Source organism: Homo sapiens, chromosome 12 (genome assembly GCF_000001405.40).
Source record: "Homo sapiens chromosome 12, GRCh38.p14 Primary Assembly".
Lineage (NCBI taxonomy): Eukaryota > Metazoa > Chordata > Mammalia > Primates > Hominidae > Homo > Homo sapiens.
Window position 1 is genome coordinate 119,832,591 of NC_000012.12, and position 13,148 is coordinate 119,845,738.

General features: G+C 44.0%; 1 protein-coding gene across 12 annotated transcripts in view; it reads right to left on the reverse strand.

Moving 5' to 3' along the window:
- Window positions 1–13,148, reverse strand: part of CIT (citron rho-interacting serine/threonine kinase) — a 191,530-nt gene that overhangs the window by 146,800 nt on the left and 31,582 nt on the right. For all 12 annotated transcript variants that reach the window (XM_011537788.2, XM_011537787.2, XM_047428134.1 and 9 more), the window contains exons 6-7: window positions 1,496–1,638; window positions 181–274 (exon numbers count right to left, since the gene is read on the reverse strand). In XM_011537788.2, the coding sequence (XP_011536090.1) occupies window positions 181–274; window positions 1,496–1,638 (237 nt within the window). The remainder of the gene's footprint in view (window positions 1–180; window positions 275–1,495; window positions 1,639–13,148) is intronic.

Consider the following 13,148-nt stretch of genomic DNA (forward strand, 5'->3'; position numbering starts at 1 on the left):
CTATAAATAAAAAGGTGCCACGGTCTGGGAAATGGTTCTGTGTCCCTGTCCCCACCCCCATACACTGCCAAAGGCTCCAAAACATTGTTCACCATTTTATCCCAACACTTCCCAAACTTAGGAGGACCAAGAATACTTTTTAGTATAAACTCTATTAAGCTATCTTATTCCATTTTTTACCATCTTGTTTGAATTCATTTTCGCGGCAGATCCAAAATCCACCAGCTTGATGTGTCCTGTGCGGTCAACGAGAATGTTCTCAGGCTTGATGTCTCTGTAAGAAAATCAGGACCATGAATTGCCTCCTCCATCCCAATCAGCAAGCAAGTGCTAACCTAGAATCTCAATTGAGCCAAAAATCTTTGTTTATGTATTCTGTTATATAGACCTCCTCTATTGGTGGATATAAATTATTAGCATACATTTTGCAAAATGAATTTAACCGAAAGGAAGGAAGGAAGGAGAGAGAGAGGGAGAGAGGGGGAAAGAGAAAAAGGGCGAGAGGGAGCAAGGAAGGATAGGAGAGAAAGAAAAGGAAGAGAAATGAAACACATATTATTCAATGGATTATTTCTCCTAGAGACACACATTTCACATGAGGAAAACTAAGGCCAAAAGGAGCTATGAAATTTTCCCAAGGTCATGTAGCTAGGCAATGGAAAAGCTGAGACTCTATCTCAAATTTTGTGATTCCTGGACTAACAATCATTGTATTCCCACAACATTCTCAGATGTACACAAAACATCAGATGAATGAAGACATGAAGAACCACTTACCAACTGAGGATTTTGTAGGCCAGGCATGGTGGCTCATGCCTGTAATCCCAGCAATTTGGGAGGACAAGGTGGGTGGATCATGAGGTCAGGAGATCAAGACCATCCTGGCCAACCTGGTGAAACCCCATCTCTACTAAAAATACAAAAATTAGCTGGGCATGGCGGTGCGTGCCTGTAATTCCAGCTACTTGGGAGGCTGAGGCAGGAGAATCACCTGAACCCAGCAGGCGGAGGTTGCCATGAGCCAATATGGTACCACTGCACTCCAGCCTGGCAACAGAGCTAGACTCTGTCTCAAAAAAAAAAAAAAAAAAAAAAAATTGTAAATTCTAACGGGCAGAGTTAGAGAAGTACAGCTCCATGGTCTTACACTACTATGTGGTATGACATTTCCTTCTGCAAACCAAATTCAGTTCTTCTATCATATAACCCAAAGAACTCATGCAAGAGTTCCCAGTCTTATTTAGCTACATTAATAGATATTACTAGCAAACTTGAGCACATTACAATTCTAGATCTATTGCACTGCTGGATAAGCAAGCTGAAATGTCCTCCATCTTGGAAAGTTTGCTTTCAGCCAGTTATTGGTAGACTGGCTAAAAACTGGATGGGGCGTTATCTTGATCTTGAAATCACTCATCCACTCATTTCCATGCAGGAACTCTTATGCGACACAGGAAAATCCTCAGCATAAAAATGCTACCAGAGTCTCACTTACCGATGCACGTATCCCATCAGATGAACGCTGTGAACAGCCAAAATCAGCTCAGCTAGGTAAAACTGTATCAGGTTTTCATCTAACTGGTCCTCATATCTATTCAAAAGTGACAGCAAGTCCCCTCCAGGCTGATATTCCATGACCTGTATAGAATGCCAAAGTTATTAATTCTTCACACACCCAAAAATAGGGAATGCCTCAATTAGATCCTCGAATATCACCTGACGTGTTATAATAACAAGGTCTCCACAAAGCAAAGAAGATGTGTAAGGCACGCTGTAAGTCATGTAGGATGAAGTCCCTGCCCTAAGGAAATTACATCTGTTACCCAGGGGAATCAATATAATGAAAGACTAGTCCCAGACACCATGCACAGTGTTTGCAAGGCAAGCTTGAACAGTTGAATTAAATCCACCCACTTTCCCACCCACAAGTTGACACCCCAGACATTCCCTAGGATTAGGTACAGTGTAGACGGATATTCCTAGAGGGCAACCACTCTTATATCCTTTCTGTATTCCCCTCAGCACCCAGCAGAATACAGAAGGCTTGCAATAAATGTGATACAATCTTTTCCTTTTATAGTCAGTGTGGAAGGCAACTGACAGCCTCTATTCAAAATTTAAATGTGAAAATATCCCCTTTGACCTAGTAATTCCACTTCTAACAATTTACAGGTACTTACAATAGTTTGCAGATAAATAGAAAGATAAATAGATTCCTTGCAGTATTGTTTGTAACAGGGGAAAAAAACATGGAAATCATTCAGCTATCCATCAGTTAGAGACTGGCTAAAATATGACATATGTAAACAATGGGATAAGACAAAGATATTAAAAACAAACAGATTCCATTTATTCATACTGCCATGGAAAATTGTCCATGACAATATAAAGTGAAATCTTGTAAAGAATAAAGTACAACCCCTTTTTTGAAATAAACAAGGAATTATTACATGTGTTGGTACATACACAGGAAAAAAATCTTGAAGAAGAATATGAAGCCTCAAGTAAAATGTTTGATTAGCAAAAAGAAACTCTTCTACCCCAAGGAACTGAAATCCTTTCTCCTTTTGATGATAAACAGGTGTGATATTCCTGAGTCCCTAGGTAGCTATAAGGCCAGTTAGCCTGGGCGGCTTCAGCCTCCTGCTGGTGACTTCACCTCGCTGCCTTTCAGTTTCATCCTCTCTAAAACAGGGATAAGACTAATCCTCTTGCAGCACTGTGTGAGGATTGAGTAAGACAAGGTCCTAGGAGGGCCTGGCACAGTGCCTGGCACCAACATGAAGTCTTCACCTACCATTCAATTCCCTTTCTTCCCCCCCACTTTACTGCATGATCCTTTCTGCTCTGGCCAGCAAAAAGAACCCATTTAGACAATCGCTGTAGCCATGTTAACCCTTATTGAGTTCTCCTGTCCTTCGCCCTGATTTCCCATTTTATTAGCCATGCTATAAATGTCTTGGAAGTTGTCTCATATGCTTTCTGGGAAAAAGGCAAGATCTGAATATACTTCTTAAAAAAAACACTAAATCTCACAAACTACTGCATTCCAAAAGCCAACTCGGGGATGTGAATTCTCACCATCATCCTCCAAACTCCTGCTTGCTTTTAGTCCAGAATTAGAAGAAAGCTCTAGACAAGTCAGAAGTAGAGCATCTGCACAGAGCCCCAAAGGCCTCAGGCTGGTCCAGTAAAATCTCCAGGAAGTGTGCCCAGCACCAAGGCAACCCCAAACCAGAGACCCCTGGAGAAGCCAGTGACTCGCGCATCCTCCCTGGGGGCTCCTTATAACCTGGGAATCTACTCCATTCACATGGTTTCTGACAACAGCAGACATTAAGCCAGACACTGGACAATTGCATTTGAAGAGTAAGGTTCCACTTGTATAACAATTGCTGAAAAAATTTTGATTTATGGGCTGGGCACAGTGGCTCACACCTGTAATCCCAGCACTTTGGGAGGCCGAGGCAGGCGGATCACAAGGTCAAGAGATCGAGACCACCCTGGCCAACATGGTGAAACCCCGTCTTTACTAAAAATACAAAAATTAGCTGGGCATGGTGGTGCATGCCTGTAGTCCCAGCTACTCGGGAGGCTGAGGCAGGAGAATCACTTGAACCCGGGAGGCAGAGGTTGCAGTGAGCTGAGATCACACCACTGCACTCCAGCCTGGCAACAGAGCGAGACTCCATCTAAAAAAAAAAAAAAAAAAAAAAAAAAAAAATTATGAACAAGAGGAACACTTAGAAGGGGGCAGCACCTAACATACACACCTTCTTTCCCCCAAGTTCCTAGCAGACATTAGTTACTCACCCCAGTCCTCGAGGAGCCCACAGGAGCCACCTGGCTGCCTGTAGCTCACCCACTCATCCCAACCTGGTTCTCCATAGGCCCTGGGTATGTGGGTGAATGCTAATTTATATGTCTGTTTTAAATATATATTGACATCGAAAAGGTCTTAAATATCCAAAAAAAGAAAAAGGAAAGAAATTCACAGATAATAACAGAAGTACTTATACTTTTAGTACTGAAATGTCTTAAAATAAGAACAATGCATATTTATGACGACACGCCACAGTTATAAATTTCCTATGGCTGTATTAAAGATGTGAAAAAAACAGTATGGCTTGTAAGTTTAAGGCTGAGAAAGTCATACGCATAGCAGAGCAGCCACCGGCAACTCTTAAGAACTGACAAACTGAACACAACTTAGTATTTGGCAGCTACTCCTGACATTCTATTTGCAATGACCAGTAAAATAGTTCAGAAAACAAGAGCCAGCTTGTAAAGTGGCAAAAAGACATGTATTCTTTGCTTCCATTCAGAAGATCCAACTTCCTGAACTGAAAATCCCCTCCCAAGTCAGATCAGTCTAAGAGTGGAACAACTTCCCATTTCTTCAAAACCAGGGTTGATTGAGAAAACAAGCAACAAAAATTACAACAGCTGCTACACAGCATGCTTCACAACATGAGGCCAAAACAGACACACTCAATGACAAACCTCTAAATAGACCGGGTCCTTATCAAAGATGCTAATCAAACTTGACCCACCAACACTATTCCAGGTTACCACACCAAAAATTCCAACAGTGCACCATTAGGAGAATGTAAGCCAGACATTTACTAAGTAAATGTGGCTATCCCAAGATGTTACCCATATCCCAAAACTATACTACTGGGGTATAGCTGCTCATTCTAGTATGAATGGAGGCCATGGGGAAGATGGCTTGTGTGTGGCCAACCACAGCTTATTCAATCATCATGCTGTTAGAGCTTAAAGATACAATAAAGACCCAGGACTTGAGTGCTTTCATAAAATACGTTTGGATTGTTAAAATGGTACCAAGAGGTTCCAAAAGCATCATCTAAAGTAACAAACTAGCAGTCTTTGAGTCTTCTTATCAGGTGACTTGCTGTGAACCAAAGAACAGGGTCAGCAGAAAATGATGAAGAAGTTAAGGACCAAGTCGCCACCCAGGTTGTGACCAAGAGTCCATTCACAGCATCTGGTTTTGTCCAAAAATGTAACTCTGTCCCTGACTTTTACTCTTCAGAGATGCCCAGTAAGGCACTGATTCTAAAAACCAGGATAGCCTTGGCTTCTACCCCAAGACAACTGTAGGTCCTCTAGGTTAGAACTTCCCAAGCCTGATTGTCCATCAGAATCACCAGAAGTGCTTGTTAAAAATAAGACAAGCCAGGCATGTTGGCTCATGCCTATCCTAGCCCTTTGGGAGGCTGAGGCAGTACAATCGCTTGAGGCCAGGAGTTTTGAGACCAGCTTGGGCAACAAAGCCAGACCCCACCTCTAATAAAAATTAAAAATTTAAAAGAAAATAAAATAGACTCATCTAAATCAATACTTGAGTGCCTATCGTGCCAGCCACTATTCTAGATGTTAGGGAAACAGCAGTGAATAAAACAGAAAAAATCCCCGACTCCATAAAGCTGACGTTCCGGTATAATGAAAAAGAGTTTTGTTTTTTTGGGTTTTTTTTGAGATGAAGTCTCACTCTGTTACCCAGGCTGGAGTGCAGTGCCACGATCTCGGCTCACTGCAACCTCTGCCTCCCGGGTTCAAGCGATTCTCCTGCCTCAGCCTCCGGAGTGGCTGGGACTACAGGCATGCGCCACCATGCCCAGCTAATTTTTGTATTTTTAGTAGAGACAGGATTTCATCATGTTGGCCAGGCCAGTCTCGAACTCCTGACCTCAAGTGATCCACCCGCCTCGGTCTCCCAATGTGCTGGGATTACAGGTGTGAGCCACTGCGCCCGGCAAGAATTTTAAAATAATAATAAGAAGAAGTATAGTAACATAAAGCATATCTCTTTCCCATCCCAACCACTTAGGGAGCTTAAAGGATTCCAGGGAATAACCCCAGACTTCATGGATCACATTCCATGGGTGGGACCCAGGAATCTATAGTAAAAGGAGCTACTGCGGTGATTCAGAGGCAGCTAGCCCAGCACTGTGTTGGGACCCACTGCTGAGGAGGCTGTGGAACCAATATGGCTCCCTACTCCAAGTGAATTGAAAGTTTCCATAGCAGCAATGCCCTTGATGAAACGTGACTTTCATATAGCCATCACCTCTGCTGCTTATATTTTTTTCAGTGACTACCTGGAGCCTTTCTGCATATCAAGACAAGATCACTGACGACAAAGGGCTGGAAAATAACCAGTCCATCAGCACTGAAGCCAGTGATCTTCCCTCCTTACAAGGACTGGAGATGTCTCCTGCACACACAATGAGCAGCTGCAGGTCACCCAAATGAGGATCACCAAGGCATGGTAATCAAAGGCTGGGGGCACAGGAGGAGGAAAGAGTCCTAGAGTGAAACAGCCCAAAACAATGTGGCAACCCCGCTGATGGCAGAGAAAGCACAGCAGCTGACAGACGAGCCTGGCTTGGAGCTATAATGGACTTGCTCTTTTAAAGCAAAGACTTTCAGGCCAACAGAGACAGACCCTTCTGATGGCAGCAGCTGCAGATGCTAATTAAAGGGCAAATCTCACATGTGTTCAGTTTGGAAGTAGCGGCTGCTTCTCTGTTGGTGTTTGCATCCATACCCCAGTACCAGGAAGGCAATTTCCATCCATTGTGTTGCATTTGAAACGAAGGACAAATGTGTCTGTGCACACGTGCACACACACATATACAATGAACCCACGTGCATGCTTGCATATGCGGGGATGGGGTGAATATTGAACAGTTCTTTAGTACTCTATTCCAATTCACATAGGGCATTAGAGGCATGCTGTGCTAGCCACCTCTTAGAAATGTCTCCTTGAAATGTTTGCACGCTCAGCACAACTGAAAGTGCCGTGAAAATGTAATGACGCTGGCGGCATCGTTATCCGCTCTGCCCAATGTTCCTGATCTTTGGCATGAGGGAGGAGAGAAGGGGTCCTCAAAGCAGAGTGGCCTCTGAGCAGAGTGGCCCCGATATTATTCTTCTTGAGAATAAAAACTCTGTTATTTTCTTCTTGGTCAAAGTGACCAAGAGAAAAAGAGAGAAGCACCTTTATCTTAGAAAACATGAAACCCAGCCTGTTTCATCCATCTATGCGAAAAATCCTCATTGAGTACTGAATCATCCAGAGTCTTGCCAAGAAACAGACAGGACACGCAAAACAGGGAATTGAGGACGTTCATTAGGGAAGGGGCTATTTACAAAGGTTCAGGTTAGGAGAAGAAAAATAAACTTGGGATGATGAAGCACCCCAGGGCTAGCAACAGAAGAGGACCAGATACCATGCCTGGGCCTGAAAGAGCAAGGACAGGGATTTCGGATGTGTACACTATTACTGAAGGGACAAAAGGAAGAAGCTATAACCAGAAACTAACTATAGCTACAGCTATAGAACAATGGTTCTCAAAATGAGGTCCCTACACCAGCAGCAGCATTACCTGGAAACTAGTTAGAAATGCAAAGTCTTGGCCAAGTGCAGTGGCTCATGCCAGGAATGCCGGCATTTGGGGAGGCTGAAGCAGGAGGATCACTTCAGCCCAGGAATTCAAGACCAGCCTGAGCAACACAGTGAGACCCCCATCCTTACAAAAAATTAAAAAGGTGGCAGGGCATGGTAGTATATGCCTATAGTCCCAGCTACTCAGGAGGGTGAGGTGGGAGGACGGCTTGAGCCCAGGAGTTTGAGGCTACAATGAGCTACGATCGTGCCACTGCACTCCAGCTTGGATGACACAGTCAGACTCTGTCTCGAAAAAAGAAGAAGAAATGCAAATTATTGGGCCCCACCCCAGACCTACTGAATCAGAAACTCTGGGGATGGGGCCAAGCAAGCTGGGACAACATAACTGAATTGTGGCTCCTAAAATGGTAGAAGTGTAAATGCACTCACTTGAAACATGCCTCAAAACACCAGAATAAAAAAAAACAACTATTTCAAAGGCACAGAAAACTCAAAGAACCTCCCAAAGGCAACAATACACTCAGCAATTGAATTGAAGTCAATAAGAGGAATTAATATCTCATTTCACCGATAAGAAAATTGAAGCGGAAAAGGCCAGTGACTCTGGAGAGACCAAACAAGGAATGGTAATAAAACAAGAACCAATATTCTAAGTCACAGCCTCATTCTGATGGGCAGCTGGTTTCCAAACCCTGGCTTCAGAAGCAGCAGCATGTGAGCAGGCCTGGTGAGTTTTGAGACATGCCTGAAAAATCAGATAATCTTAGCTGAGAGATCAAAACAGCACATGTCTCACTGTCAAAACTATCATAAGCTGCCACATTTCACTAAAGTAAACAATGAAGTTGTGTTCATTAACTCCCTCCAGATTCCCAATGACAGCATAGCCTGCTATTCATGAAAGCCTAGAAACAGCCCACTTTCAAATTGTTCCTATATAGGAAACAAACGCTGCCCATAAAATTACACAGGTGTGGGTTGAAAGCAAGATAATATAAAGAACTCATCCCAAGCAGGGCATCAGATCCAGTGGTTTCAGATCCAGAAGTATAATGCCTTGAGTAAGAATATGGAAGGTGAAACTACAGGCCTGGCTTCAAAGCTTAGCTGTACCTTGTATCACCTACAAAAGCAGCTGTTTATTTAACCTTTTTTTTTTTTTTTGAGATGGAGTCTTGCTCTGTCGCCCAGGCTGGAGTGCAGTGGCACCATCTTGGCTCACTGCAACCTCTGCCTTCCAGGTTCAAGCAATTCTCCTGCCTCAACCTCTGGAGTAGCTCGGATTACAGGTACCCGCCACCATGCCCGGCTAATTTCTATATTTTTAGGAGAGACAGGGTTTCACCATGTTGGCCAGGCTGGTCTCAAATTCCTGATCTCAAGTGATCCACTTGCCTCGGCCTCCCAAAGTGCTGAAATTACATGTGTGAGCCACCGTGCCCAGCCAAAAGCAGCTGTTTTAGCCTCTGTGACAGACTATTAATTGTGCCCCCAAATCCATCCTTCCCTTATTCCACAGTAATAAGAATTTTAGCTTGACAGAGGCCACACAGCCGACAGTAAATTCCCAGTCTCCTTAGCAGCTAGACGTGCAGTCACATGACTACGTTCTGGCCGAGAAAATGTGAGAGGAAATGATGTGTCCAACTTCCGCATCCATCTATAGAAAAAGAATTTGCTTACTCTGAATTTCTGTTCTTTTTTCCTACCAGGCAGCTGGAACAGAGACATGAAATGGCCCAACTTCAGCCATGTAAAAGAAGACAACATCCTAAGGAAGGGGGGAGTCACAACATGGAAGGAACCTGGGTCCCTGAATTAACACATACAGCAGAGCTGCTCTACCAGCCTGGGTTGTACATTAGGGTCTCTTTGATACAGCAGCTAAGCATGTACCTTAGCTAATACATCTCTACATGCAACCAGGGAAAAACATTTGGAGTGAACACAAGGAAGTCATTGTAAGGTTAGAACATGGAAAAGAAGTTCATGAGTCAATTGCAGGCTCAGAGCAAGGGTAATCTGAAGAAAACCACAGTAGGAAAAACATCAGCACAAATAATTTAGACAAAACAATACTGGCAGGGCACAGTGACTCACGCCTGTAATCCCAACACTTTGGGACGCCAAGGCAGGCAGATCATGAGGTCAAGAGTTTGAGACCAGCCTGACCAATATGGTGAAACTCCGTCTCTACTAAAACAACAAAAATTAGCCAGGCATGGTGGTGTGCGCCTGTAATCCCAGCTACTCAGGAGGCTGAGGCAGGAGAATCAATTGAACCCAGGAGGTAGAGGTTGCACTGAGCTGAGATCATGCCACTGCACTCCAGCCAGGGTGACAGAGCGAGACTGCATCTCAAAAAAAAAAAAAAAAAAAAAAAAATACTGCAAGTGGTGGGATGCAAAACTATGTGTTCTTTGTGAAGATCAGCTCCTTCATGGAAGGACACTGATGAAGGCATCTGTTATGCAGAATTGAACAGATTTCTTCATGAACCAGATCAACAGAGCACTGTTTCCATCAGCCACATGCAGAATACAGGACTAGCTTTGTTATATAGAACCAGACATTATGACAGAGTTTGCGACAATTTTCTATAGACCAGAAAACAATAAGCCACATTCACTGGCTTATTGTGGTATGTCACCACAAATGGGAAATTTTTAACCATCAAAATGCAAAAGAACTCAAGTTCAATTTCCTTGCACTGCATTCCAAATTTTGAAAATCTCACTGAGTCTATCTTGAATTACACACGTGAAAGAAAATAACTCCACTGAGAATATAATGCAAGTTCCGTAATACAATAAGTAAATTTGAATGCACATCAAATTTCTATGAAATTAATCACACATTCATCCAATAAATATTGCTTAAGCATTGACTTGGTAAAGCTCTACTCTCCCTTTATGGATGAAGTAGCCTAGTGGGACAGACCAGCACCCACTCATAAAGGAGAAGTACAGGGTGCAATGAGCGTACAGTCAAAAGGCGCCATTCCAGAAGTATAGGGTCTAGGAAGGGCTTCTGGAAGAAGTGAAATCTGATCCAACCCAGAAAGAGAAAGAGGAGTTAGCAAGGTGAACAGGGAAAGAGTGAACAGCATGGAAAAAGGTCAGAGGCAAGGTCAAAGAACCAAAGGAAGTTCAGGATGTTAAGGTAGAAAGAGAGAAACAGTAAGTGGCTGGGGACAAGTGCAAGAAAGGCCTGGTAAGTCACGTGGAAGAGTCTGGACTTCATCCAGAGGACAGCAGGGAGTCTTGAAGGGTTTCAACAGCGGGCTGACTTGGCTGCAGTATGTGGAAGACCTGGGAGAAGGGCCAGACAGATGGCAGGGAAAATACTTCAGAGGTTATCACAGTAATTCAGAGTAGAGAAGATGGATGCCTGAAACCCACACAGCAGAGGCAAGACTGGAGAGAAGAGACAGCCAGGAGGGATATACCATAGGAGGTAGAATCCTGTTGTTTTTTTCATTGATTTAAAATGTATCTTCAGGGCCAGGCGTGGTGGTTCACGCCTGTAATTCCAGCACTTTGGGAGGCCGAGGAGGGAAGATTACAAGGTCAGGAGTTCGAGAACAGCCTGGTTAACATAGTGAAACCCCGTCTCTACTAAAAAGACAAAAATTAGCTGGGCATGGTGTTGCATGCCTATAATCCCAGCTACTCAGGAGGCTGAGGCAGGAGAATTGCTTGAACCCGGGAGGCAGAGGTTGCAGTGAGCCAAGATCGCGCCACTGCACTCCAGCCTGGGCAAAGCGAGACTCCATCTCAAAATAAATAAATAATGTTCAACTGCCAAGGGAGCGTGATATGTAAGTTTCCCCAAACTTCAAAGGTTTGTTGATGTAAAAGTGGCCAATAGATAGGATGGAATTTCAGGACTGTACGGTACCGATATAAATCTAGGATCCATTTATCTTGAAGCAGAATGGGTTTCCAGATTCAGAATTTTTCAGATTTTAGAAAGGTAAAGTGGTACACACACTTTTTTTTTTTTTTTTTTGAGACAGATTCTTGCTTTGTCGCCCAGGCTGGAGTGCAGTGGCATGACCTTGGCTCACTGCAACCTCCACCTCCTGGGTTCAAGTGATTCTCCTGCCTCAGCCTAAGGAGTAGCTGGGATTACAGGCGCCCACCATCATGCCTGGCTAATTTTTGTATTCTTAGTAGAGACGGGGTTTCACCATGTTGGCCAGGCTGGGCTTGAACTCCTGAACTAAGGTTATCCGCTCGCCTCGGCCTCCCAAAGTGCTGGGATTACAGGTATAAGCCACCGCGCCCAGCCATACATACAGTTTATATTATGTAACACCCTCAGTAGGGTCTGGGACATCACCTTGTAATCAAACACACTCATAATTTTATAGCAAAATGGGAAGTCACACTAAAGGGAATGAATAAAGACTAAAAAGAGCCTTAAGAGAGCTTGGATCAAGTTTTGCCAAAAACTGAGTTCAAATCAGGTTTTGCTGATAAACAAGTAACAAAAGAATTTGAGGTTATTCAGAACTCTAGGTATTTCAGAATTACAGATAAGGGATGGCAGACGTATGAGCATATCTTAATTTCCATGCTAAATTTGAGCTTTTATGTGAAAACTATACCCTTAGCAAGCATTTTACTCAAAAGCAACAAAGTACTTGAGAAGAAAATGGAGACAAGAAAATATTAATAATTACAAAATCCCATCAGTAATACCCAATTGAGCTACAAAACAAGGGAGTAAAAATGTCATTGACCCAAGTAGCAGTGTGCTGAGGCAACCAGAACTCCAAAAAACAGCTGCATTAAGAACCCTCCTAGGCTGGGCACGGTGGCTCACGCCTGTAATCCCAGCACTCTGGGAGGCTGAAGCAGGCGGATCATGAGGTCAGAAGATCGAGACCATCCTGGCTAACACGGTGAAACCCCGTCTCTACTAAAAATACAAAAAATTAAACGAACATGGTGGCACGCGCCTGTAATCCCAGCTACTCCAGAGGCTGAGGCAGGTGAATCACTTGAACCCAGGAGGTGGAGGTTGCACTGAGCCGAGATTGCGCCACTGAACTCCAGCCTTGGCAACAGAGCGAGACTCTATCTCAAAAAAAATAAACCAAAAAACAAAAACAAAAACAAAACAACCTTCCATCTTGCAAGATGGCAGATGGAAAAGCTGAGTAGAAGCTAAGGATGCCGATGCCAGTGGTGAGATCATTGGGGAAGCCTCCTACATCTGGGAGCCTGTCCTAGCACAGAAACCCACAGACAGTCCCAATCCAAGAGGTACTCCGGGAAGGCTATGCCCAAGCAGATGTCCACAGCAGTTAAATCCACAACTAAGAAGACAAAGGTGGCCAGGCGCAGTGGCTCATGCCTGTAATTCCATCACTCTGGGAGGCTGAGGCAGGCGGATCACCTGGGGTCAGGAGTTAGAAACCAGCCTGGCCAACATGGTGAAACCCTGTCTCTACTAAAAATACAAAAATTTGCCGGACATGGTGGTGGGCACCTGTAATCCCAGCTACTCAGGAGGCTGAGGCAGAAGAATTGCTTGAACCTAGGAGGTGGAGGCTGCAGTGAGCCAAGATCCCGCCACTGCACTCCAGCCTGGGCAACAGAGCAAGACTCTGTCTCAAAAAAAAAAAAAAAAAAGCCAGGCGTGGTGGCTCACACCTGCAATCCCAGCACTTTGGGAGGTCAAGGTGGGCGGATCACAAGGT